This window comes from Homo sapiens, chromosome 9 (genome assembly GCF_000001405.40).
Source record: "Homo sapiens chromosome 9, GRCh38.p14 Primary Assembly".
NCBI classification, from domain to species: domain Eukaryota; kingdom Metazoa; phylum Chordata; class Mammalia; order Primates; family Hominidae; genus Homo; species Homo sapiens.
The window spans coordinates 130,751,757-130,777,951 of record NC_000009.12 but is presented as its reverse complement, the minus strand read 5'-3'; the positions used below and the strand labels follow the sequence as shown (position 1 = coordinate 130,777,951).

Genomic DNA, 26,195 nt, shown 5'->3' with positions numbered 1-26,195 from the left:
CAGTCTAGAAAGTACTAATGCAGTGAGTCAGTGTCCCAACACAAAGCCCTGAGAGGTTCCTCGATTCCCCTGCTCACAGTCTAGAAAGTACTAATGCAGTGAGTCAGTGTCCCAACACAAAGCCCTGAGAGGTTCCTCGATTCCTCTGCTCACAGTCTAGAAAGTACTAATGCAGTGTGTCAGCGTCCCAACACAAAGCCCTGAGAGGTTCCTCGATTCCCCTGCTCACAGTCTACAAAGTACTAATGCAGTGTGTCAGCGTCCCAACACAAAGCCCTGAGAGGTTCCTCGATTCCCCTGCTCACAGTCTACAAAGTACTAATGCAGTGTGTCAGCGTCCCAACACAAAGCCCTGAGAGGTTCCTCGATTCCCCTGCTCACAGTCTAGAAAGTACCAATGCAGTGTGTCAGCGTCCCAACACAAAGCCCTGAGAGGTTCCTCGATTCCCCTGCTCATAGTCTAGAAGGTACTAATGCAGTGAGTCAGTGTCCCAACACAAAGCCCTGAGAGGTTCCTCGATTCCCCTGCTCATAGTCTAGAAGGTACTAATGCAGTGTGTCAGCGTCCCAACACAAAGCCCTGAGAGGTTCCTTGATTCCTCTACTCATTAGTCCAATACTGAAACCAGCCAATGGACAACCCCATCCACATATATAGGACTCCCAACACCCCTTCCATTCCCATGTTCTTAAGCATGAATGGACAACCAGGATTACCAGACTGCTGAGGAAAGCCTAGAGCATCACAGAAAAAGACCAAGATGAACAGATTATCCTGAAGGAAACAGATAATTCAGGAAACTGGAGATAATCCAAACTACAAAAAACCGTAACTCATATCCTCAGAGAGACCCATAAAGATTATATGCCCAGAAATCAAGAATGTGATACTAGGAGAAGGATTTTTTAAATAAGAGCTGTGGTAGTTAAAAAGTATGACTGCCAAAATAAAAAATTAATAGAAAATAAGTGAAAAATACTCAAGGAAAGAAATCTCCCAAAATCCAGAAAAAAAGACAAAGATCTAGGAAAACCAGCATTAAATTAATAAGAGTAAAGAGGCCAGGCATGGTGGCTCACACCTGTATCCCCAGCGCTCTGGGAGGCCGCGACAGAAGGATCGCTTGAGCCCAGGGGTTTGGGACCAGGCTGGGCAACATAGGAAGAACCCGTCTCAAATTAAAACCAAACAAAGAATAAAGAGCCCCCTCTAAGCAGCACCTCCCTTGTGGCTTCTGTAGCTTGTCTACACTAGCCCTGCAACTCCCCCCAGCTCCTCCAGGGCTACCAACTTCACACCAGCCTGTCCACCAACAGGCAGCCCCCAAAGACCTCAAGAAAAGAGTCACCACAGCTGCTGCTTTTTTTTTTTTTTGAGATAGAGTCTCACTTTGTCGCCCAGGCTAGAGTACAGTAGCACGATCTCTGGTCACTGCAACCTCCGCCTCCCAGGTTCAGGTGATTCTCCTGCCTCAGCCTCCCAAGTAGCCACCACGCCCAGATAATTTTTGTATCTTTAGTAGAGACGGGGTTTCGCCATGTTGGCCAGGCTGGTCTCGAACGCCTGACGTCAGGTGATCTGCCTGCCTCGGCCTCCCAAAGTGCTGGGATTACAGGCATGAGCCACCGCGCCCAGCCTCACCACAGCTTTTTAGGTTAACTTGAAGCTCACTTAATTGAATTTCACAGAGGATTGAGTATTAACAGGACTCAGGACTCTAAAGTTTAGCTCTGTTATCCCAAGGCCAGCTTTATGATTCCTGAGTGAGCTGCCATGTGATACCACATGACTAATTCTCTATTCATTCCACTTTTTCTTTTCCCTCACTATTCTTTCTTGCATTGCAGACATTCTTCCTTTTTGGATCATTTTCTCTTTTTTGAAAGTATAAAAGTTCCTTTGTGAGACCGTGCTGGAGACATCAGTTTTTGTTTATCTGAAAATGTCATTATCATGCTCTCATTACTAAATTATATTTTAGCTAAGTTTAAAATTCTAGGTTGACAATAATTTTTCTCTCAGCGCTTTTAAGATACTGTTCCACTGTCTTCTTTCTGGTTTCCATCGTTGCTGTAGAGAAGTCTCCTTTGAGTTTAATAGGGTTCCTTGGGAGGTAATCAGTTTCTCTCTGATTGCTTTTAAGATCTTATTTTTGTCTTTGGTGTTCTATTGGCCTTATATTTGGAGAAGACTTTTTTTTTTTAATTCCACGTGGGATTTGCTCTGATTCCTGAATCTAAAGATTCTTGTTTTTCACTATTCTTGGAAATTATTTAGCAATATCTCCTCAAATATTGTCTCTCATCTGTTATCTCTATTGACTTCTTTTCTCTCTCCTTATAGGCTTATATTTTAGACTTCTGTCTCTCTATGCTGCGTTTTGTATAATTTCTTCAGCTTTATCCCTCAGTTTACTAAATCTCTCTTCAGTTGTGTCTAACTTGTTAAACCCATCCACTGAAGTTTTAATTTCACTGATCGTAGTTTTCATTTCTTTTTTAGTTCTTTTTCAATTATTTGATTTTTCTTCATAGGATTTTAGTCCTTACTTGTTTTCTATTTCACATTTTATTTCTTTAAATGTTTTTAAACCAGTATTTTATATTCTGAATCTGACAGTTTTTATATCTAAAGCTATAAAGTACTATAGTTCTACTGTTCATTTTCCTGCTCTGTGATGCAAGGTTGTTTGTTTTCTCATGTTCTTAGTTTTGGATTGTGAGATCATGTTTGGAGAAGCTTTATCTTTGGGAATCTGGTGTTAAGACTGAGAAAAAGATAGATATAGTCCAAGAGGATATGCATTGACTTCTGCCAGCTAACTAGGAACTGTAGTAATCTAGGAACTCTAGCAACCTAGTATCTCTCTAAAATAATGTCTCTTCTTGGAATTTCACAAACTACAGAGGCCAGGTAAATTCAAACAAAGTTTAAAAGAAGGCATGCTTAGAATAAAAGTTATCTCGGGAGGTTTTTGTTTCCTCTCACTCAAAGTGCAGACCAAATCAGACAAGTTTCTTTCTCTTTGTTTTCTTTCCTTTCTTTCCTTCCTCACTTCCTCCTTCCCTCCCTCCCCCACTTTCTAACTTCCTTTCTTTCTTTCTTTTTTGAGATAGGGTCTCACTTTGTCACCCAGGATGGAGTGCAGTGGTGCAATCTCAGCTTCGGCTTCAACCTCCTGGGTTCAAGAGATACTTCAGCCTCAGCCCCTCAAGTAGCTGGGACTATAGATGCACGCCACCATGCCTGGCTAATTTTGTTTGTTTGTTTGCTTTTTGTTTTTGTTTTTTTAACAGATGAGGTTTCTCCATGTTGCCCAGTCTGGTCACGAACTCCTGAGCTCAGGCAATCCGCCCACCTCAGCCTTCCAAAGTGCTAGAATCACAGGCATGAGCCACCGTGCCTGGCAAGTTTCTTTTTTAAATATTCTGCCAACAGCTTATTCTTTCTAGTCTATCATTTTGCTCAAAGTGTAGCCAATCAATGATCTTAGCTTTATAGGGCAGTCTGAATTCCAAGTCCCTGTCTACTCATAGGCCCAAGATTATGTCTCCAGTTCCCCAAACAGCAGCCCTTAAGACTCAAGTGTCATCGACAGCTACCATATGACCAGCGATCCTGCTCCTATTTACCCAAAGGAAAAGAAAGCAAATGTCCACACAAAGCTTTGCTCATACTGCAGGAAAAAGGCAAAAAATAAAAGTAAAAAAGATATGTTCATATGTGTTCTAGCAGCTTTATTTGTATTAGCCCAAAAAGGGAAACAAATGCCCATCAGCAGATGAATAAACAAATTATGGTCCATCCACACAATGGAATAGTACTCAGCAATAAAAAGGAACAAATTATTGATCCAAAAACATGGATGAATCTCAAGATAATTATGTCAGGCAAAGAAGAGTACATAGTATATGACTGTATTTTCTAAAATTTTATATAAATGAAAACTAATTTATGGTGACAGAAAACAGGTAAGTATTGGACCGGGAAGGAGGTAAATCAGGGAAGAATTACAAAGAATCATAAGGAAACTTCTGAGGATGATGGGCTTTTCACTATCTTAATTGTGGTGATCGTTTTGTGGGCATATACATATAATTTATCAAATTGTATACTTTATATATGTGCAGTTTATTTTATGTCAGTTATACCTCAATAAAACTATTGGGGAGCCGGGCACAATGGCTCATGTCTGTAATCCCAGCATTTTGGGAGGCTGAAACAGAAGGACACTTGAGCCCATGAGTTTAAGACCAGCCTAGGCAACATGGTAAAACCCCAAAACCCCATCTCTACAAAATGAAAAAAAAAAAAAAAAAAAAGAGTTAGCCAGGCATGATGGCCCACACCTATAGTCCCAGTTACTCAGGAGGCTGAGGTGGGAGGATCACTTGAGCCCAGGAGGTCAAGGCTTCAGTGAGCCATGATTGCACCACTACACTCCAGCCTGGACGATAGAGCAAGACCCTATTTCAAAACAATAGCAACAAAAACAAAACATTGGGGGAAAAAAGCATCTTGATTACTGAAATTAGCAAACAATGCCAAGACGTTTACAGTTTTGGCTTGTCTTTCTTATTTTCAGCTCATCTTTTATTTTTTATTTATTTTTTAAATTTTTTTTTAAATTCGAGATGGAGTTTCACTCTTGTTGCCCAGGCTGGAGTGCAATGGCACGATCTCAGCTCACTGCAACCTCCACTTCCCAGGTTCAAGTGATTCTCCTGCTTCAGCCTCCCGAGTAGCAGGATTACAGGCATGTGCCACCATGCCCGGCTAATTTTGTATTTTCAGTAGAGATGGGGTTTCTCCATGCTGGTCAGGCTGGTCTTGAACTCCTGACCTCAGGTGATCCACCCGCCTTGGCCTCCCAAAGTGCTGGGATTACAGGTGTGAGCCGCTGCACCCGGCCAGCTCATCTTTTATTTTATAGGCCTTGGGGATTTACCTTTTTTCTTGCAAGTTCAGCTATTCATTAAAAAGATGTTTATTATATTTTAGGGATCAGGTCTAAGTATTTTTGTCAGGTCAATTTTCAGGATAATCTGTCCTATCACCAGCAAAAGTCTCCCTCATACCTGTGTTTGAAGACAATGCTAAATTGTCCCTAAAGTTTGTCTATCATGTTTGCCCCCATCTCAGTCAAAATCCTCGACAGTGAAGCCCCTTGGGCAAGCATTCAGTTGGATCCTCACCTAATCCCTGTGCCCTGCGTTTTCCTCTTCCCATGCCCTTGCTCAGGACATTCACTCTGGCCAGATTCTGTGTCTCCTGCCTGTACACTTTCCTCTTTTCAACAGATTTGGGGTGTGGTGAAATTCCACCTCAGTACCCCAGGCCTCTTCATATGCCCAGATCCCGTCTCCTCCTCTTCTCCCACCAAAAACCACTCCCATCTTTTTCCCTGACCAGTCACCCTAGTGAGGAGATGTCTCTTTCCTCTCAACCGCTATAATTCTTCACATGTCTATTACTAACGTCAACCCAGTAAGGTCTAGCATTTGAATCCAGTGTCTCAGTGTTTCATCTTCTCTATTCAATTCCTGAAAATCATGACCATCTGTGAGTCTACAGTAGCACAAGCTCAATGCCTTGTACTCATGTGGACAAACAGTAAATACTTGGCAAGGGAATTGATAAGCATATGAAGGATGAAAATCCTTCAGGGAGAGTGTATGTTTGGGAGATATCTCTCTACCAAAGATGCAGGTGAGCTGACCAGACCAGTGTTCCGATGTAAATGACTGAAATCCAGCCAGTCACAACTGCTTAGAAGTATCCATTTCAAATCTAAAAGGCAGGGAAATACTGTGCTTCAAGAGAATCACAACTGAAATGTTAACATTATTCTCCCTAAGGCAGTTACCAGGAAGCATTTTTTAAAAACACCAACTTTTGGCTGGGCGCAGTGGCTCATGCCTGTAATCCCAGCACTTTGGGAGGCCAAGGCTGGCGGCTCACCTGAGGCCAGGAGTTTGAGACCAGCCTGGTCAACATGGCGAAACCCCATCTCTACTGAAAATACAAAACTTAGCTGGGCGTGGTGGCACGTGCCTGTAGCCCCAGCTACTCAGGAGGCTGAGGTGGGAGGATTGCTTGAGCCCAGGAGGAGGAGGTTGCAGTGAGCCAAGATTCTGCCACTGCACTCCAGCCTGGGCGACAGAGTAAGACTCTGTCTCAAAAAAAAAAAAAAAAAAAGAAAGAAAGAAAGAAAGAAAAAGTCATTTGACCAAGGAAACTATACTGCAGCTTCTCTTAGGCTGGGTACTGCTGCTATCCCAGTATGACTTAAGAACACATTAGGTTAAAAATAAATAAATAAATAAAAACATCAGCTTTTGAAGGATAAATACCTATGATACTTTCCTTACAGATGTATTTTTTCTTTTCCTGTCAAGCACATAAACTTCTGAGTGAAGATATTTGGAACACTTAAAAAGTATAACATCAGTTAATGTACATGAATATGTCATAATGCCTAAGAAAGAACAAATGTTCCTGTATTTTGGCATCTGTATAAGTTATCAAGCTAATAAAATGACAGGACCCTACTTCCCTAAAAAAAACTTAAAGCACAAATGTAGAATATAAACTGGCACTCTACTTAGAAGGCTGAGGTGGGAAGATCACTTGAGGCCAAGAGTTCAAGACCAGCCTGGGCAACATAGTGAGGCCCCATCTCTACATACATACATACATACATACATACACACACACACATACATACATACATACAGCTGCCCCTATCAACTCCATGCCTAATACTCAATGCTGGCCTACAATTTTCAGTTTGGCTTTTGAAGGGAGCACCACCATGTGGTGAATGTTTTTAGTACACTTTTAATACAGATCCCAATAGGATGTTATATACATGTAAAAAGGAAGAAACCAATTATCCAGGCCCAATACAATGTAAAATAAACAGATATAGACACATTTTATAACATTACTTTTATACTGACCAAATTTTAGAGTTCAACTATTAAGAGTTGAGATATTATCTGTTCCTTCAGGAGGATTCAGATTATGAACCTCCTTTCATGTTAGTAAGTGAGACCCAGAGTCGGTAATTCACCCAAGGGACTAGGTTAAGGGGTAGGCTGGGAATGTGATAGTACCGGGTCTACAACCCTGGTCTCCTGCCTATTTATATTGTCCCACATCTCTTCTCTTTTATGTGAAATACAGATTATTTGGAAACTTAAATTTTTATTTATTTAACAAGCAGATATATAGCATTTACTATGTGCTGTAACTGTTCTAAGCACTTTTAAATATTTGAAAGCAATATTTAGAACAGTGCCTGCACACAGTAAGCACTATATGTGCCAAGTAATTAAAAGTTTGAAACCTCCAAAACCTCCAAATAATTTGCATTTCGTGCCGCTCCTTTCCTATGGAGACTCTGAAGAAGACTGTATTGTCAATCTTTTAAACATTTTTGGAGACAAGTGCTTATGCTGTGGCCCAGGCTGGAGTGCAGTGGTGCAGTCATAGCTCACTATCACCTCAAACTCCTGGGCTCAGGTGATCCTCCTGCCTCAGCCTCTTGAGTAGCTGGGACTACAGGTGTGCACCACCACACCCGGCTAATTTTTCAATTTTTTGTAGAGATGGGGTCTTGCTACATTGCCCAAGCTGGTCTTGAACTCCCGGCTTCAAGTGATCCTCCCGCCTTGGCCTCTCAAAGCATTGGGATTACTGGCATGAGCCACCATACCCAGTCTTATAAATCTTAATAATCTTCTAGGGTTTAAAAAAAAAAGAGAGAGAGAGAGACAGAGAGAGAGACAACTGGTAGAAATAAAGACAACAAAGCCAGAGTTCTGTGCTCTAGGACCCTGGAGCACTGTCCTTCAGCTGGTGAATGGATAAACAAACTGTGGTACATCTATGCAAGAGAATACTACTCAGAGACACAAAAGGAGGAAATGTGGATAACATGCAACAACGTGGTTGACTCCTCACCCATTATATTGAATGAAAGAAGCCAGATTCAAAGGCTTCAGACTGTACTATTCCATTGATATGACATTCTGGAAAAGGCAAAACTACAGGGACAAAAAAACAGATCAGGGTTGCCAGCAGCTGGGAGAAGAGAGAAAGGATGACTACAAAAGGGCCGCACAAGGGAATTCTAGGGGGTGATAGAACTGTTCTGTATCTCAAAAGGGGTGGCAATTTCACAAGTGTATGTATTTGTCAAAGTCCATAGAACTGTATAATAAAGAAGGGGAATATTATGATATGTAAATTATACCTCAATAAACCTGACTAAAAAATAATACAATACAATACAATAAAAGACTAGGGGCCGGGGACGGTGGCTCACACCTGTAATCCCAGCACCTTGGGAGGCCAAGGTGGGTAGATCACCTGAGGTCAGGAGTTTGAGACCAGCCTGGCCAACACGGTGAAACCCCATTTGTACTTAAAATATATATATACAAAATTAGCCAGTCATGGTGGTGCACACCTGTAATCCCAGCTACCTGGCAGGCTGAGGCAGGAGAATCGCTTGAACCCGGGAGGTGGAGGCTGTAGTAAGCCAAGATAGCACCATTGCACTCCAGCCTGGACAAGAGCGAAACTCCAACTCAAAAAAAAAAAAAAAAAAAAAAGACTAGGGCCATAGTTTGGCTCTCCAAATTAAAGCTAAAGAAGTTGCATTCCATAAAAGTTAAACAACAACTGATTAAACTGTTTTCCTCTATAACCGACCTACTCTAGTTAGACCTTTGGCCCTTACTAACTTTATAACTACCTTTTATAATAGTTACAAGTTATTGATCTAACTATACAACAAGCACTATTCTGTTTCTTTAGGTTTACTGCTTAATTTTCTGTGCCAATGACAGATGTATGTGAAATAAAGAGTGAAAAATTCCCCCTCACGTCCCCAGGCCATACCCACCCCGATCCATTCCACTCTCAAAAGATAACCACTATCGACAGACCTTTCTCAACATATTTACAGACCCGATTTTTCTCTGTAGTATAAATGGGATTATATTACCCTTGCTTTTCCATTGAACACATTGAACACATCAATCCACATAAAACTACCTCTAGCTCTTTAACAGCCACAGAGTGTTGTACAGAATGACAGCCACAATTATGTAGCTGTTCCCAATGAACAAATATTTAAGTTACTTCCAATTGTCTCTAGTTAGGTTTCTCATAGGGGTTTTAATTTAATTCTCACAAAGACCCTATAGAGTGGGCCTATTATAGACAGGTCCTCCAAGGCTTGGAAGGATGCACTAATTCGTTCCTTCAACAAAGACTATTCTGTGCCAGGAACACGACAGCAGACAGGGTCAGACAGAGCCTTGGCCATCAGGTAACTTACTACCGTTCTTCTTCACTGGCTCTAACAAGCAACATCCCCCAGACCAGTGCAAAGCCAGGCTGATGCAAGGGCTCTGGGGAGGCCTTTCAGCCTAGCTGGGGGCAGGGTGGTCATCAGTGGAAACTTCCTGTTTCTGCTCCTTGGTGCTGCCTCACTTCCACCGCCATCAGACTGAGGATACACAGCTAGTCGTCACTGGCTCTGTCCTGGGGGGACTTTGCTCTTGCCAGTGACAGTCTTCCATACGCTCTGAGTTGCTGCTAAATGCCCGTGCACACCAAGCCTCCCAAGTTACAGACCTAGCAGAGCATGAATTATTTTACAAATTCACAAATGTAGCAACCAAGTAAATCCTGCTGCCAGTCTTCCCATCAAGAAGGAAACAGAAAAAGCAGAGGCTGCAAGCTCTAATGCTTACAGGGTTCAGGAAGTTGTACACATAGGAGTGTATGGGGGTTGGGGGGAAGGGGGCTCTCCCATCTGGGTGATGCTGTTCAAGAGAGCAGCGGCTACTCAGCTCCAGCAGATAGCTACCATGTGAAAACGCAGGGTTTTGGAAGTAAAATATATTGTTTTAAAAAAATTACGATGGAAATCTTAAAATTTCCTAATTTTTAAATCCATAGGTTCCACTTCATTTTTTTCCTCGCAATTTCCATGTTAATTAAACCAAGTCATTTGTTGTGCAGAATTCCCACCAGTCTAAATCTTGATGATTGAATTTAACATGTCACTTTCTTCTGCATGAAACTTTATTTTCTCAAATGCAGGTGGCCATTTCTGTTTAAAAGAGATGTCCTATTTGTGAATGTGTGTGTACGTGTGTGTGAGTGTGCACACACATGCACACGTGCACTTTACTTCAGAGAGCTGGCCTGTGGCTGCTCTGAGGAATCAAATGTGTTCCCTTTTCATAAAACCTGCAGCTCCTCCAGAACTAAAACTCGGTATTCAAATATGAGGTCAGGCCGGGCACAGTGGCTCCTGCCTGTAATCCCAGCACTTTGGAGGGCCCAGGCGGGTGGATCACCTGAGGTCAGGAGTTCGAGACCAGCCTGGCTAACATGTTGAAACCCCATCTCTACTAAAAATACAAAAATTAGCCAGACGTGGTGGCAGGCACCTGTAATTCCAGCTACTCGGGAGGCTGAGGCACAAGAATCGCTTGAACCCGGGAGGCGGAGGTTATAGTGAGCAGAGATTGTCACTGCAGTCCAGCCTGGACAACAGAGTGAGACTCCGTCTCAGAAAACAAGAAGTCAGACTCTCCACTGTAACATGGCATTCTGAGGCCATGTGAATCTTTAGAAGAATGGGATCGCAAAGGGACTCCTGGAATTCCAAACAGATCTATCAATAATTGAATGAGGTAGTTTCAGATGGCATGAGCTGCAAAGAAATGAAAAGGGGAAGAGGACAAAGAGCTGATGCTGGTGTGGGTACTGTGGCCTGGGCCATCAGGGAAGGTCTTTCCGAAAAGATGTCATGTGAGCTGGGGCCTGCATGGGTCTGAAAGAGCCAGGCACCAGAAGCTGAGTGAAGGGCAGGGCCCAGGGAACCCTAAGAGGAAAAAGCACTGGCAGTAAACAAAGGGAGTGACAGGAGGGAAATTCGAGAGGGAAACCAGGCCCAGACCACGCAGGCTGTGGAGAGAAGCTGAACATTACTCTAACTGAGATGGGTACCCATCGAGGGACAGGAAACTGGGTAGTGAAAAGATCTGATGTAAGTTTCTAAGGGAGGGTCTCTCTGCTAGCAGGAGGAGGACAGACCCAGATGGCAACAGGAGGCTGGGAAGTCTTTGAGATCAGAGCCGGGGCAAGGCAGGGTGGGGCCGGGGTGGTAGCCCTGACAGCAGAGCAGTGGGTGGTGTGAGGTTTATTCTAGGCACTTGTGACTGTATCGGACAAGAAAGAGAGGGCAGAGGAGGAGGCAAGGATGAAAGCTAGAGGGTGGCAAGGCCCTGGGGGGAGATGATGCTGGGGTCACAGGCTGTGGCCTTGTCCCCAAGTCCTAAGGCATCAAAAACAGACAAGGCCAGGTTTGGTGGGAACTCACTAAGTCAAAAGAAAAGGCCCCTGCAAGTGCCTACACTTCCTCATCTTCCTAACCACGGGGCACACTCATTTGTATCCCAATGAGACACATCCAGTACCTGCACCCTCCAGCTCCCTGTCAGAAGCCACCAGTGGTGGGGCCGCCCTTCACTGCATGTTTACCACTCTTTCCTCAGGGCCCTACGCAGAAGTCTGTCTGCGGTCATGGATCTCTTCCTGGGCCTACAGTAAGGCATCTGTCCTGACAGTAAGGCATCTGTCCTGCCCAGCAAGACCCGCCTTCCAGGCTCCAGTCATCCGCATGCCCCTGAGCAGGCTGGCGGGGGCACTGGGGGCCGAGGCTTCTTGGTATGTGTCTGTGAGTGCCATGGCCGCATTCTTGAGAGCGCACCAACGCATGCCACGGCCCGGGGCCCTCACAGTCACAAGCTCCTGAGCAGCAGTTTCTCTGCAAGCCTGGGAAACAGGTCGTGGGCGATGACCTGCACCCACTTCATCTCCATCTGCCAAATACAGTCTGATGAATTCACCCAATTCTTCCCTTTATCTTTTCTTTCCTCAGGGAAGCACTCAAATATGAGACCAACACCCTGTCCTTGTGACTGCTTCTTTACCAAATTCTGCTGACAAACCGTTTTTCCACCAAGCCACCACAGACAAGTGATTAGTTTGGTCATTGCCAGGATTAAGAAAACCTGCCTATTATGCCCCATTAGATTCACAGTAACTTTCCAAAATTTCAATATGTGTTCAAGCATTAAATCTGTGGCATAAAGAAGAAAGCAGCAAAGGGAACTGGGGGGCCTAAAGAACAGAAGAGAAACACAAAGGCTGTCAGGTCTAATTGTGCCTCTACGTTACCAAATGACTTTCATTTCCTTCCTTATAAGAGAAATGAATACTGATCCGTCACTGTTAACACTCAGGTACACTGACGTACCCAGTAGACCTTCCAGAAGGGCAACTGGCAATATGTATCAAAAACCTTTAAAAGTTTCTATTCTTTTGATGTAGAAATTCCACTTCTAGGAATTTATCGTAAGGCCATAAGAATGTACAAAAATGGATCATGAAGATTCTGGGAGAAAAACTACAAACAATAGAAGCATTTGAGGCTTAGGGAAATGAATCATGGCCTATCCAACACCACAAGGATTTCCATGTAGACAGGATTTCCATCCTGCTAGCTACACGTTTTGAAGTGGGGGAGCAGCACCCAGGTGGCCCCCGGGTTGCTGGCTGTAGCACTGTCATAACCAAACCAAAGCCTCCCCTTGTACCTCTGAAAAAACCCCTTGAGAAGCTGATGAAGGATATGGACCTCCTCGCCCAAAAATAGCAAACCCAAAAACCAATAACCAAACATGAGACTGCACAAATGTTTGCATGTAATTTCAGGAAGCCTTAGAAGTCCAGAGGAAAGCAAATTATTCATATTTAACAACAAAAAAATCATCTTGACAAAATGATGAATTCTGAAAATGATCAACTCTGGCCAAAAAGAAAAGGGTGGAGGAACTTGTCTTTGGTTAATCAGCACACTACAAATTCTACTTGTATCCCTTGTATCCTCTTTTTTTTTTTTTTTGAGACAGTCTTGCTCTGTCACCCAGACTGGAGTACAGTGGCACAATCTTGGCTCACTGCAACCTCCACCTCCCAGGTTCAAGTGATTCTCCCACCTCAGCCTCCCAATTAGCTGGGATTACAGGCATGCGCCACCACGCCCAGCTAATTTTTGTATTTTTAGTAGAGACAGGGTTTCACCATGTTAGCCAGGCTGATCTCGAACTCCTGACCTCGTGATCCACCTGCCCTGGCCTCCCAAAGTGCTGGGATTACAGGCATGAGCCACTGTGCCTGGCCTTTTACTTGCCTCCTCTTAAGTGACATTATTCATCCAAGCCCAAGGTGTCAGGGACCCAAAACACAACATATCTGACCTTACGCATAACAAGCAAAAGAAAACACAGTGCCACCACGAAAAAGAAATCTGCACAGGTGTCCAGGTTTATCGAATGCATATATCAGAAGGAGAATCTGATGCTGCTAAATAAGCTAAACACATTGTTACAAGAAGAAGCACAAAGCACAGTCCCCCAATGGAAGCGGGAACTTTGAACATGGGAAAGGGTCAGCAATACAGTTCAGTCCCAACCAACAGGACCAGAGCTAGTTCCCTCCAGCAATAATGAAATAAAACTTGAAAAGCTCTGGACAGATGCCTCCTACACACAAACCTCACTTCACAGAAGAAACGCACTCCAGAAAACTCGGCTCCTATTTTCTCCCCTGGTTTCTGGGGTAAGCTCAGCTATATTCCTAGAGAAGAAAGATCTCCCTCAAGGACACAGTGATGTGTGTGTCCTGGCCTCTCTGACCCTGGCCCGCCTTGCTGTCTCCTCCAGGCCATGCGCTACTGCAGGCAGTGCCTTCCCACTCAGGACCTTCCTACAAACCTCCCCTCAGCCTGGAACACCCTCACCTCCCAAACGCCCACTCAGCGGCCCAGTCTCTGCCTAAGTGTCTCCTCTGGGAAGCCTCTTCTGCCCGTTCCCTGCCCCCATTATGTTAGGTTCATGTTCCCCTTGTGCTGGCAGGGGGTGGTAGCGGTACACGTGCCATTATGATGCTCATTTTACAGGCAGCGAGTGGCAAGCCTCCAAAATGCCCCCACTGATTCCCGGCACATTTGCTGAGTGAGTGCCCTCCCTCACTGAATAGGGTAGACTGGGGAACCAACAGGATACTGCAGAACAGCAGGGTAGCATCTGTGATTATAAAGACATGTCACTTCTGCCTTGTGATCTCTTGGATTACTTGCTCTGGGGAAAGCTGCTGACATGTTGTGAGGACACGCAAGAAGCATGTGGAGAGGTCCGTGTGGCAAGGAACTGTGGCCTCCTGTCAACTGCCAGCACTGCTCGCCAGCCCTGTGAGTGAGCCATCTTGGAGGCAGGCCTGCCAGCCCCAGTTAAGCCTTCAAATGACTCTGAAGTCCCAGCTGAAATCTTGTCTACAATCTCATGAGAGACCACAAGCTAGAACCACTCAGCTAACCCACTTCTGAATTCCTGATCTAACAGACCTCAAGGGCAAGAACCATGACTGTCCTTTTTAATATTATAGCCCAACCTAACACCAATATAATATACCTGGCATATTGTAGGCATTGTGTTAAGAGAATGAATAAATGGAATTAATTAAATGAAAAAAAACCACAAAAATGTTGAGTGGATGGTAGAGTGACATGCTCTATTCTTTACTTTGCTAAATTTAAATTTTTTTCCACAATTAACATGTATTATGGGGTCACTTCACTTGGATTCAATTTGAACTAGAACCTGAAATGAAAAAAAAAAAAAGCAATTATCCAAATGTCCCAGGGCAGGGGAACCAGAAAGAAGTGCAAAGGCCCTGAGGCTGAAACAAATGTCATACTGAAGAAACAGAAAGATGGGCCAATGATACATGAAGCGATGCTGGGACCTAGGCCAGATCTTGGTTATATGCTTGGCTTTTTTTGTGACATGGAAGGAGAAGCTATTAGGTTTTAAGCAGAGGAGCAACATGATCTCATTTGCATTCCTGAAAGACTATTCAGGTTTCCTTTTCTTTTTTTTTTTTTTTTTGAGACGGAGTCTCGCTCTGTCACCAGGCTGGAGTGCAGTGGCGCCATCTTGGCTCACTGAAAGCTGCACCTCCCGGGTTCATGCCACTCTCCTGCCTCAGCCTCCCGAGTAGCTGGGACTACAGGCACCCGCTACCACACCCGGCCAATTTTTTGTATTTTTAGTAGAGAAGGGGTTTCACCGTGTTAGCCAGGATGGTCTCGATCTCCTGACTTTGTGATCCACCTGCCTCAGCCTCCCAAAGTGCTGGGATTACAGGTGTGAGCCACCACGCCCAGCCAGATTATTCAGGTTTTCATATGAAAAATAACTAGCAGAGGAGGAAGACTGAAAGCAGGAGTATCAGTAAGGAGGCTATTGCACAAGCCCACAGGAAGTGATGGACTCGATCAGACACCCCTGTAAAGTGTTCAGCAAAACCCTGCACATTCAACACACCCAACAACTGTTAATTTCTTTGTAAATGCTCAGTTTGAAAGTCACTATAAACAAGTTTCCCAAAAGTGCACACACATGCACACCACACAAATTTAAAAATTACCATGTTTTATATTCAATGGCACAGAAGAATATTTACAATATATATATTTTTAAAGGCAAATGAACAAAAACAGCCTATCTACTATGAACCCTCCTTCAGACAAGAGTGGCTACGGCAGAGAAATAAATGTTACCACAAGGTGGTTATCTCTGGGGGTGGGGTTCTAGGTAACTGTTACCTTCTTCAGCATCTCTTTCTGTACTTGTGAATTTTTTTTTTTTTTTGAGCTGGGAGTTTCGCTCTTGTTGCCCAGGCAGAAGTGCAATGGCGTGATCTTGGGTCCCCACAAACTTCGCCTCCCAGGTTCAAGTGATTCTCCTGCCTCAGCCTCCCAAGTAGCTGGGATTACAGGCACGCGCCAGCAAGCCCAGCTAATTTTGTATTTTTAGTAGAGACGGGGGTTTCCCCACGTTCGTCAGGCTGGTCTCTAACTCCCGACCTCAGGTGATCCACCCGCCTCGGCCTCCCAAAGTGCTGGGATTACAGGTGTGAGCCACTGAGCCCAGATGTGAATTTTCTTATTAAATAATGAGCATTTATTTATTTTGTAATGTGATGAATATAAAATCACTTTCATTTGTCAAATAAAAGAGAAAAAAAACCTGTAACTTTCCTGTATACTAAAAAACAAAATTTGAAGAAATGGTTAGTCTTACTAAATGAAGATTCAAATTACTTCAGAGAAGTAATGTTCTTATTAATGTGGGTGTTCTGATCACACCATAGCACTGGAGTGGCACCACGCGTGATGCGGAAAAGAAATCCTGTGCTCATTGTTTGATGAAGGTCAACAGCTTTCGATGCCTAATAATGACTTTTGAAAAAATTAAAAGGGGAGTTGATTAAAACAGGGGTTTTTCAGCATGTCTTGATTTTGTCCTCCTTCCGGTCTGAATAATGCTTTAAAAGAGGGACCTTTCCTTCACAAGGGAGAGAGAAAAGACCATGGGAGGCTTCAGGGTAGGGAGGGACTGGAAGGTTTACAGACTAAGTCCTTATCATGAGGAGAAAAGAGAGATGCCATTCTCCCACCTAGAAGTCAATGATCAGATTTTAATGGTATGCCAAAGGCTGTGAATGGTCATAAAAAGGGGAGGAAATAGGCCGGGCGCAGTGGCTCACGCCTGTAATCCCAGCACTTTGGGAGGCCAAGGCGGGTGGATCACGAGGTCAGGAGATCGAGACCATCCTGGGTAACACAGTGAAACCCTGTCTCTACTAAAAATACAAAAACATACCGAAAACAAAATATTAGTAGCCAGCCGTGGTGGTGGGCGCCTGTAGTCCCAGCTACTCGGGAGGCTGAGGCAGGAGAATGGTGTGAACCTGGGAGGCGGAGCTTGCAGTGAGCCGAGATTGCACCACTGCACTCCAGCCTGGGCGAAAGAGCGAGACTCCGTCTCAAAAAAAAAAAAAAAAAAAAAAGCAGGGGCGGGGGAGGAAATAGCACTTTGCGGGGGCTGACCACGAGGTCAAGAGATTGAGACCATCCTGGCCAACATGGTGAAACCCCGTCTCTACCAAAAAATAATGCAAAAATTAGCTGGGTGTTGTGGCCCGTGCCTGTAGTCCCAGCTACTCGGGAGGCTGAGGCAGGAGAATCTCTTGAACCTGGGAGGTGGAGGTTGCAGTGAGCCGAGATCGCGCCACTGCACTCCAGCCTGGCGACAGAGCGAGACTCCATTTCAAAAAAAAAAAAAGTGGGGGAGGAAATAAATCTAGTCTCCCAAAAAGTTTACAAGAGAAATTTTCTTCCTTAACAACTAGAGAAGCAGTATACTGAGAATTTAGTTTCCTAACATTTAAGCAGAAAAGTCATCTCCCAATATTTTCCGTTATTTTATGAGGGTCAGTGATGTAGCCACTTGAAAAAGATCAGAATACATCCTACTTTCAAAAACCCTTGACATCTGTAAGACTTGGAAGGGTCTATGTTAAGATAACTGAAAGAAATCCAGGAACAACAGATTTCTTGTTTCAATCAGTAATGATCAGGGGGACAGTAGCTTCTATTACAAACCCAAAAGGAACAGGAATCCTAATGGCCAACAGTGTCCCAGCTCTTAATAGAGAAGTCCTACACTAAAGGACTGATGTTAAGGAGGGAGCTACTGTTTACCCTTGGTACAGCAAAATGACATCCCAACAGCACCATGATCTGCAGGCAAGGCAATGGCAAAGTTAACCCAAATTGGTCTGTGACCCAAGCATAAGGGGACTAGCCACATTTCAACCAGGTTAAATCTTTAAAACTAAACAACTGGCTGGGTGTGGTGGCTCATGCCTGTAATCCCAGCAGTTTAGGAGGCTGAAGTGGGAGGATTGCCTAAGCCCAGGAGTTAGAGGCCAGCCTGGACAACGTAGTGGGACCCCGTCTCCAAAAAAAAAAAAAAAAAAAAAAAAAATTAAATTACCTAAATGTGTGGCACAAGCACGTAGTCCCAGCTAGTTGAGAGGCTGAGATGGGACAATCACTTGAGCCTAAGAGGTTAGAGCTGCAGTGAGCTGTAACTGTGCCACTGCACTCCAGCCTGAGCAACAGAGTGAGACCCTGTTTCAGGAAAAAACAAAACAAGAAACCTAAACAATGACAGCGTGTCCTAGGGGAAGAAATGTGAAGCCTCCTATACCGGCTCCACCACTGAGACATGGTCTCCAGCCAGTTTCAGTAGAAAGATGCCTGGCTAGTATGAGGTTGGTGCAAAAGGAATCACAGTTTTTACACTGTTGGAATTTGTCATTTGATATTCGAGTACATTCTTAAATAAATGTGGTTATGTTATACATTATTTTAATGGGCATTTCTCACTTTACATTTTTTTGCTAATGACTTATTCCTTGCTGTTTATGTTTACTTTAGACTGTGAAAATGATGTTAGACAAAAAGCAAATTCGAGCAATTTTCTTATTCAAGGTCAAAATGGATTGTAAAGCACTGGAGACAACTCGCAACATCAACAACGCATTTGGCCAAGGAGCTGCTAATGAAACGTACAGTGCAGTGGTGGTTCAAGAAGTTTTACAAAGGAGACGAGAGCCTTGAAGATGAGGAGTGCAATGACCGGCCATCAGAAGTTGACAACGACCAGTTGGGAGATCAATCACAGAAGCTGATCCTCTTACAACCATAAAAGAAGTTGCTGAAAAACTCAATGTTGACCATTCTATGATCATTTGGCATTTGAAGCAAATTGGGAAGTTAAGCGGGTCCCACATCAGCAAAAATTTTTAAAAAATCATGTTTAAGTGTCGTCTTCTCTTCCTCTACGCAACAACAAACCATTTCTTGATCAGATTGTGATGTGCGACAAAAAGTGGATTTTATACGACAAACAGCAATGACCAGCTCAGTGTTCGGACCGAAAGAGGTTCCAAAGCACTTCCCAAAGCCAAACTAGCACCAAAAAAAGGTCATGGTCACAGCTTGGTGGTCTGCTGCCTGTGTGATCCACTACAGCCTTCTGAATCCCGGCGAAACCATCACATCTGAGAAGTATGCTCAGCAAATCGATGAGATGCACCGAAAACTGCAATGCCTGCAGCCGGCACTGGTCAACAGGAAGGGCCCAATTCTTCTCCATGACAACACCCAACTGCACATCTCACAACCAACGCTTCCAAAGTTGAATAAATTGGGGCCGGATGCGGTGGCTCACACCTGTAATCCCAGCACTTTGGGAGGCCGAGGTGGATGGATCACTTGAGGTCATGAGTTCAAGACCAGCCTGGCCAACATGGCAAAACCCCGTCTCTACTAAAAATATGAAAATTATCTGGGCTTGGTGGCGCACGCCTGTAATCTCAGCTACTTGGGAGGCTGAGGCAGGAGAATTGCTTGAACCCAGGAGGCGGAGGTTACAGTGAGTCGAGACTGCGCCACTGCATTCCAGCCTGAGCAACAGAGTGAGACTCCGTCTCTGGTGGCTCATGCCTGTAATCCCAGCACTTTGGGAGGCCAAGGCGGGTGGATCACCGGAGTCAGGAGTTCCGAGAGCAGCCTGGCCAACACGGTGAAACCCCATCTCTACTGAAATACAAAAATTAGCCAGACGTGGTAGTACACGCCTGTAATCCCAGCTACTCGGGAGGCTGAGGCAGGAAAATGGCTTGAACCCAGGAGGTGGAGGTTGCAGTGAGCCAAGATCGCACCACTGCACTCCAACTTGGGTGACAGAGCGAGACTCTGTCTCAAAAAAGAAAAAAAAAAAAAATCTTAGCCACTCTGCAAAACACAATAGAGATAATATATGTCAAGCACCCAGTCCGATACCTGGGTCAGAGTAAGTGCTTGATATAAGTTAGCAAATCATCTAAGTACTATTAACAACATCTCTTCAAGGAAGGGATTATTATAAGCCCCATTTTATAGCTAAGAGAACTGAGGAGAAAAGAAGGGACAGCACCTGGGTGTGCCCTGGAGGGGCCATTGCTTCCTCACTTTCTCAAAATCTTCATCAACTTTCTCGTCTTTCAGGTAAAATTTTGGTTTTCTTTCTTTTTATTTGAGACACACATAAAAAAAATGCCTGGCCGGGCGCAGTGGCTCATGCCTGTAATCCCAGCACTTTGGGAGGCCGAGGCGGGTAAATCACAAGGTCAGGAGATCGAGACTAGCCTGGCTAACACAGTGAAACCCCATCTCTATAACAAAATACAAAAAAAATTAGCCGGGCGTGGTGGTGGGTGCCTGTAGTCCCAGCTACTCGGGAGGCTGAGGCAGAAGAATCACTTGAACCCAGGAGGCGGAGGTTGCAGTGAGCTGAGATCGCACCACTACACTCCAGCCTGGGTGACAGAGCAAGACTCTGTCTCAAAAAAAAAAAAAAAAAAAAGGCCTGGAGTACAGTGGTTCAACCTTAGTTCACTGCAACCTCTGCTTCCCAGGCCCAAGCGGTCCTCCCACCTCAGCCTCCCTAGTAGCTGGGACTACAAGCATGCGCTACCATGCCCCAGCTAATTTTTGTATTTTTTACAGGGACCAGGTTTCATCGTGTTGCTCAGGCTGGTCTTGAACTCCTAGGCTCAAACAATCCTCCCACCTTGGCCTCCCAAAGGGCTGGGATTACAGACATGAGCCACTGTGGCTGGCCAATTTCAGTTTTCAATAGGAAAACAGGACTTAATGCTTCCCCCATCTGGCTTTCTCCTCCAGGAGTCAGAGGAGCTCTTCCCGAGTGGGCTGATGCTGCTGATCTTAGAGCCTATCTTAAAGTACCTCATTCTCACCAAGTTCTGAGAATATGAACACAGCCGGCCTCAGGTTCTTCACTTATAAAGCAAACTTCTAAAAGGGTCCCAAACTGCCTTCTCACAGACGGCTGGAAGGGAATTCTGCAGAATGGAATGTTCTGGGTCCCCCTTTCCATCGGCTCCCTGCTCTGGAGCACAGCTGTGTAGTGAAGATGACAGGCAGTGCCCTAAGGGGACTCCAGCTCTGCCCAGGAGGAGGGCTTGAAGGATTCCAAATGCCCAAATTCCAAACCATGAGCTCAAGGCAAAAAGGAGCTTTGTTTCCATTTTCTTTTAAAACACCCTCAGACATACATTCTCCAAAACCTTCTTATAGCCAAGTTAAAGAGGATACAGATCAGGCATCCCTATTAGAACACAGTCAACCAAGGCTGATGCTGCAAAGGCCAGTGTCAGGCTGACGCTGTGTTACAAGTTTCTTTTAGATATCTGAAGATACTCAGCAAGGAGCAACAACAGAAACATCCCCTTCCCCTCAACTCACACTAGCCCTAACTTCTCTTTTTTGGCAAAATGCTATCGAGCTGCCTTAAACACAGTGAGCAGAATCCCAAAAGTGAAGAGAAAATGTCAGAGTAAAACAGAGCTCAGTGGCTTGGAATATAGCAACGCCGAAAAATAGCTGAAAAAGGCACCAATTTTGCTGTATTTAGACTCAAAATGTTGTAAAAGTTAAGAATTAAGTGACCCACTGAATTAGCCAATTTGAAATCTAAAGATTGCTGCAACAGTGTGTGGGAAATCTGAACAAATGAAATGGCAACCTTTCATTTGACAAAAAAAAAAAAAATTAAAACTTCCATACAAATGCAGGAAGCCCAAGAGGCAGAGCTCTCTCCAGGAAAACCGAATGAGAAAGCTCTCTGCTAACCACGTCTGTCAAATGTCAAGGAGAAAAGGGAAATGAGAAAACAAAGCCTCCCAAAGTCAACTGCCTTTCTAAATCAGTATAAATACCACAGCATTTGGATTTGTTGATCTTTTCATTTAAAAACCTGTTCTTCTCTATGAGAAAAGTGGTTGCCCCTTTTCTCACAGACATGCTTCCTTTGAAATAATACTAAGTGGCTTACATAAGGGGCCATCTACTATGCTATCAAGTCATTTTTTTTTAATAAATGAGAAGTGTAATCAACTTTTCTCTGTGTTTTGACAAAAATTCATCTATGATATTACAGAGTGCTGCTGCTGCACACGGAAGCCCTTGAAGGACAGGCCCTGAGCTGTGTCCTCGTCCTCCTCGGCCACCAACCTCGCAGCTAGAACTGCCATCTGCAGATGGAAAGTCACAGCCCTGATCTCTGGAGGCCAGGAAGAGCGGCAGACTGCCAGGATTCCACCAACCCCTACAAACCCAGGAAAAGGAGCTTCAGGGCTGGTGGCAACGTCATTTGCTCAAGAAAACAGAGTTCTGGTTTTTCCAAGATGGAAAACAGAGGGGAATTGGTCAAAAGGGTCTCCTAACTCATACATTATTACAGCCTTATGAATGAACAGGAACACCATGTGAGGGGGCACGTCTTGCTGAACTCAAAGGAAATACGTCCTACCAGGCAATTATTCTGATCATTATAGTTGATTCTTTCCAGAGACCACGAACATGCAGATAGTGATGAGTGAGCAACACATATGCAGAAAGCACTGAGGGGACAGAGTACACAGAGACTGTTCTGTCAATGCTACTACTGAAGCAGGTCGACAAGCAAAGCCTCACCTTCTGCACAAGGAGGAACTACAGGGAACCACCCTACTCTGTGAATGTCACCCCCATTTCTAGTCGCCAGACTCACAGTCATGGAATCATTTTTACCTCTCTCCCCTCTGACCAATCCCACATCCAAGATGCCTACTGGTGTCCTCTGCCTTTCTTCAGGCTCTTCTCATGTCCTACTTAAGGGTACTCCTTTCCACTCCCAACCTAAATTCAGATTACAGAATAATTTTCTTAAATCATAGCTCTGATATTTTAACAAATTCCTTCAACAACTATTTATTGAAGATCTACCATGTGCCAAGTACTGTTCTAGGCGCTCAGGACACTTTTGTGGAGCTTTCATGGTGCTAATATCTTACTGGGTATGTATAATGCCCAATGTCCACCAAATATCTCCAAAATCTTTGGCTTGGTACTCAAGGTCATCTTTGAGGAAGCCCAAACATGCTTTCCTGCCTTACTCCACGTACTCCTCTGACTATCCTAGCCAAGCCATTCCTAACACCCTTTGCCCTTTCCCACCTGAATATATCTTCTCTCCCTGAGCAGACAATAATCTCCCTGAGAGCAGAGGCCCTATCTATTCCCTAGTCCGCTTGTTAAAAGCACTCAGAAAAGGAAGAGTGCTGAGAAGCCCCGCACGGTATTCAAACCCCATCTATATCTTCCTATCTTGCCTCTCCTTTAATACCTCCAATGACCAATAATCACTGGCTTCCAAGCCCCCCCCATTACTTGATTGCTCTCATTATCTGAAAGCTCTTTTCATACTGAGTCCAAATGTGCCTTATTTTGTGACTTCCATCCGCAGCTCCTAATTGTGCCTTCCAAAGCAGTGTAGGGTGAGACCAACTCCCCTTTACATGATAGTAAATTTTTTTTTTTTTTTTTTTTTTTGAGACGGAGTCTCGCTCTGTCGCCCAGGCTGGAGTGCAGTGGCACGATCTCGGCTCACTGCAAGCTCCGCCTCCCAGGTTCACGCCATTCTCCTGCCTCAGCCTCCCGAGTAGCTGGGACTACAGGTGCCCGCCACCACGCCTGGCTAATTTTTTGTATTTTTAGTAGAGACGGGGTTTCACCATGTTAGCCAGGATGGTCTCGATCTCCTGACCTCGTAATCCACCCGCCTCGGCCTCCCAAAGTGCTGGGATTACAGGCGTGAGCCACCACGCCTGGTCTCTCTTTTTTTTTTTTTTCTGAGACAGAGTCCCACTCTTGTTGCCCAGACTGGAGTGCAGTGGTGCAATCTTGGCTCACTGCAACCTCCGCCTCCTGGGTTCAAGCGATTCTCCTGCCTCAGCCTCCCAAGTAGCTGAGATTATAGGCAACGCCACTACCCCCAGCTAATTTTTTTTATATTTTAGTAGAGACGGGGTTTCACCATGTTGGCCAGACTGGTCTCGAACTCCTGACCCAGGTGATACACCCGCCTCAGCCTCCCAAAGTGCTGGGATTACAGGCGTGAGCCACCGCGCCCAGCGACAATAAATATTTTCAAAACAGCAAACACATCTTCCCTTAGGCTTCTCTCCTCCAAGCTAAAAACATTACCCAGTTTCTTTACTCATTATTCATTCATGCATTTAACATTTATTGAAAATCTACTATGTAATAGGCATGATACTAGGTGCCGGGGTTATGACACAATCTTTGCTCTAAAGACATTTAAGAGGAGATGAGGCCTGGCATGGTGGCTCACGCCTGTAATCCCAGCACTCTGGGAGGCTGAAGTGGGTGGATAACTTGAGGTCAGGAATTCGAGACCAGCCTGGCCAACATGGTAAAAACCCGTCTCTACTAAAAATACAAAAATTGGCCGGTTGTGGTGGCACATGCCTGTAATCCCAGCTACTCGGGAGGCTGAGGCAGGAGAATTGCTTGAACCTAGGAGACAGAGGTTGCAGTGAGCCAAGATTGCACCACTGCACTCCAGCCTGAGCAACAGAGTGAGACTCCATCTCAAAAAAAAAAAAAAAAAAAAAGAAAAGAAAAAAAAAGAAGAGATGAGAGAGAGGCAAGTATAAGACAGTAAACACCACTGTGATAAACAGCACAGCAATAGCACAGCATGCAGTGGGAACAGAGGAAGTGATAGCCAAGTTCACCTCTGCAGCACAAGTAGGAGCTACCAAGGGTGTTCTTTTTTTTTGAGATGGAGTCCGCTCTGTCGCCCAGGCTGGAGTGCAGTGGCGCGATCTTGGCTCACTGCAAGCTCTGCCTCCCGGGTTCACGCCATTCTCCTGCCTCAGCCTCCCGAGTAGCTGGGACTACAGGTGCCAGCCACCATGCCCAGCTAATTTTTTTGTATTTTTGGTAGAGACGGGGTTTCACCGTGTTAGCCAGGATGGTCTCGATCTCCTGACCTCGTGATCCACCCGCCTCAGCCTCCCAAAGTGCTGGGACTACAGGCGTGAGCCACTGCGCCCAGCCCTTTTTTTTTTTTTTTGAGACGAAGTCTCGCTTTGTAACCCAGGCTGGAGTGCAATGGCGCGATCTTGGCTCACTGCAACCTCCGCCTCGCGGGTTCAAGTGATTCTCCAGTCTCAGCCTCCCTAGTAGCTGGGATTACAGGTGTTCGCCACCACGTTCAGCTATTTTTTGTATTTTTAGTAGGGACGGGGTTTCATATGTTGGCCATGGCTGGTCTCAAACTCCTGGCCTCCAGTGATCTGTCCGCCTCAGCCTCCCAAAGTGCTGGGATTACAGGAATGAGCCACTGCACCCAGCCACCAAGGGGTATTCTTAACAGAGATGGCAGCAGCACACCCTAATTTTCATGTTGGCCATGTTCTTCTGAGGAATGAATGAATACATACATACATGCAGTGACTAGCTTTGGGAAGAGAAGACTACTTATTGGTTGCTTTTTGGGGCCAGGCACTATACCAGGCATTCACCATAGAGGCATTCTATACTTCACCCTCATAGCAACCCTGCAGTAGGGCAAGAAAGCATGTTTGGGCTACTTCAGAGAAGACCTTGAGTGCCAAGCCAAAGATATTATAGATATTTGGTAGGCAGCAGGAGTTACAGTTCCCAGTAGGATGCTGGTACCATGAAACCTCCATAAAAGTATCCTCAGAACCCTATCTTAAAGATGAGAAAGTTAAGGGTTACAGAAGTGAAATAACATGCCCAAGATCTCACAACAGCTATGAAGCAGAGACAGGATTCACATCTAGGCCTGCCTGCCTTCAGAATCTGGGCACTTCATCACTTAACTTATCTGGTTAATGGTGCTTAGCCTCTGTCGGGTCATCGTCCCCTTTGAGAATCTAATGAAAGAAAAATGTTCTGGTGCACATTCCCAAGTGTGCATAAAATTACAGGGTCCAAAGCATCCCTACATTATACCCATACATCTTCATATCAGGTTAAGAATTTGGAGCGAATATGGTGGATGGATAATCCATAGCCATTCCATCCTCCTTCCAGGGTCCCTTCTTTTCTAATAGTGCGGAGGCTGAAAATCTAACAGACACATCACCACCTCCCCTGCACCTACAGTTTAAATGTGATTTAGGGTCTGCAAGTTGGATACAATTACATGAGATTTGGAAAGCAGATGGGAGGCCCAGCACACATCTGTTGCTTCTGCCGTTGCTGTGGGCAAGCCCGGCTGGAAAGCATTTGGTTTTCTGAGGCAGG

General features: G+C 44.8%; 1 protein-coding gene across 1 annotated transcript in view, besides 16 other annotated features; it reads right to left on the bottom strand.

Annotated features, from left to right (window-relative positions):
* The window catches only part of ABL1 (ABL proto-oncogene 1, non-receptor tyrosine kinase), a 174,633-nt gene that overhangs the window by 109,724 nt on the left and 38,714 nt on the right, over nucleotides 1-26,195 (bottom strand). The window lies entirely within an intron of this gene.
* Nucleotides 1-26,195: part of a biological region, named in NCBI's record as "ABL breakpoint recombination region", that runs on past both edges of the window. NCBI's record gives its function as "recombination_partner: LOC107963947 | LOC107963948 | LOC107963951 | LOC107963955 | LOC107966121 | LOC107966125".
* Nucleotides 1-26,195: part of a mitotic recombination region, noted in NCBI's record as "ABL minor-breakpoint recombination sub-region recombines with the BCR-ABL minor-breakpoint cluster region, producing the e1a2 transcript", that runs on past both edges of the window. NCBI's record gives the evidence for it as "EXISTENCE:nucleotide sequencing assay evidence [ECO:0000219][PMID:20703256]".
* Nucleotides 1-26,195: part of a mitotic recombination region, noted in NCBI's record as "ABL major-breakpoint recombination CML sub-region recombines with the BCR-ABL major-breakpoint cluster CML sub-region within the BCR-ABL major-breakpoint cluster region, producing the e13a2 and e14a2 transcripts", that runs on past both edges of the window. NCBI's record gives the evidence for it as "EXISTENCE:nucleotide sequencing assay evidence [ECO:0000219][PMID:20703256]".
* Nucleotides 1-26,195: part of a mitotic recombination region, noted in NCBI's record as "ABL major-breakpoint cluster ALL sub-region recombines with the BCR-ABL major-breakpoint cluster ALL sub-region within the BCR-ABL major-breakpoint cluster region, producing the e13a2 and e14a2 transcripts", that runs on past both edges of the window. NCBI's record gives the evidence for it as "EXISTENCE:nucleotide sequencing assay evidence [ECO:0000219][PMID:20703256]".
* Nucleotides 7,947-8,805: a meiotic recombination region, noted in NCBI's record as "meiotic double-strand break mapped by DNA meiotic recombinase 1 chromatin immunoprecipitation followed by single-stranded DNA enrichment and sequencing in the germ cells of some male individuals with the PRDM9 A/C genotype". NCBI's record gives the evidence for it as "EXISTENCE:chromatin immunoprecipitation-seq evidence [ECO:0000229][PMID:25395542]".
* Nucleotides 9,094-9,898: an enhancer, noted in NCBI's record as "H3K27ac hESC enhancer chr9:133643441-133644245 (GRCh37/hg19 assembly coordinates)". NCBI's record gives its function as "activates a minimal SCP1, AML or CMV promoter by ChIP-STARR-seq in primed H9 embryonic stem cells {active_cell/tissue: H9 hESC(primed)}" and the evidence as "EXISTENCE:reporter gene assay evidence [ECO:0000049][PMID:30033119]".
* Nucleotides 9,899-10,704: an enhancer, noted in NCBI's record as "H3K27ac hESC enhancer chr9:133642635-133643440 (GRCh37/hg19 assembly coordinates)". NCBI's record gives its function as "activates a minimal SCP1, AML or CMV promoter by ChIP-STARR-seq in primed H9 embryonic stem cells {active_cell/tissue: H9 hESC(primed)}" and the evidence as "EXISTENCE:reporter gene assay evidence [ECO:0000049][PMID:30033119]".
* Nucleotides 10,087-14,262: a meiotic recombination region, noted in NCBI's record as "this region was identified as a recombination hotspot within the HapMap YRI population". NCBI's record gives the evidence for it as "EXISTENCE:nucleotide sequencing assay evidence [ECO:0000219][PMID:20981099]".
* Nucleotides 10,087-14,395: a meiotic recombination region, noted in NCBI's record as "this region was identified as a recombination hotspot within the HapMap CEU population". NCBI's record gives the evidence for it as "EXISTENCE:nucleotide sequencing assay evidence [ECO:0000219][PMID:20981099]".
* Nucleotides 10,939-10,988: an enhancer, noted in NCBI's record as "active region_29161". NCBI's record gives its function as "activates an Ori minimal core promoter by ATAC-STARR-seq in GM12878 lymphoblastoid cells {active_cell/tissue: GM12878}" and the evidence as "EXISTENCE:reporter gene assay evidence [ECO:0000049][PMID:35858748]".
* Nucleotides 10,999-11,058: an enhancer, noted in NCBI's record as "active region_29160". NCBI's record gives its function as "activates an Ori minimal core promoter by ATAC-STARR-seq in GM12878 lymphoblastoid cells {active_cell/tissue: GM12878}" and the evidence as "EXISTENCE:reporter gene assay evidence [ECO:0000049][PMID:35858748]".
* Nucleotides 11,269-11,328: an enhancer, noted in NCBI's record as "active region_29159". NCBI's record gives its function as "activates an Ori minimal core promoter by ATAC-STARR-seq in GM12878 lymphoblastoid cells {active_cell/tissue: GM12878}" and the evidence as "EXISTENCE:reporter gene assay evidence [ECO:0000049][PMID:35858748]".
* Nucleotides 11,359-11,528: an enhancer, noted in NCBI's record as "active region_29158". NCBI's record gives its function as "activates an Ori minimal core promoter by ATAC-STARR-seq in GM12878 lymphoblastoid cells {active_cell/tissue: GM12878}" and the evidence as "EXISTENCE:reporter gene assay evidence [ECO:0000049][PMID:35858748]".
* Nucleotides 11,733-13,050: a meiotic recombination region, noted in NCBI's record as "meiotic double-strand break mapped by DNA meiotic recombinase 1 chromatin immunoprecipitation followed by single-stranded DNA enrichment and sequencing in the germ cells of some male individuals with the PRDM9 A/A genotype". NCBI's record gives the evidence for it as "EXISTENCE:chromatin immunoprecipitation-seq evidence [ECO:0000229][PMID:25395542]".
* Nucleotides 12,343-12,392: a silencer, noted in NCBI's record as "silent region_20406". NCBI's record gives its function as "represses an Ori minimal core promoter by ATAC-STARR-seq in GM12878 lymphoblastoid cells {active_cell/tissue: GM12878}" and the evidence as "EXISTENCE:reporter gene assay evidence [ECO:0000049][PMID:35858748]".
* Nucleotides 17,930-18,111: a silencer, noted in NCBI's record as "fragment chr9:133635228-133635409 (GRCh37/hg19 assembly coordinates)". NCBI's record gives its function as "represses an EF-1alpha promoter that drives an FKBP-Casp9 reporter gene in an ReSE screen in K562 erythroleukemia cells {active_cell/tissue: K562}" and the evidence as "EXISTENCE:reporter gene assay evidence [ECO:0000049][PMID:32094911]".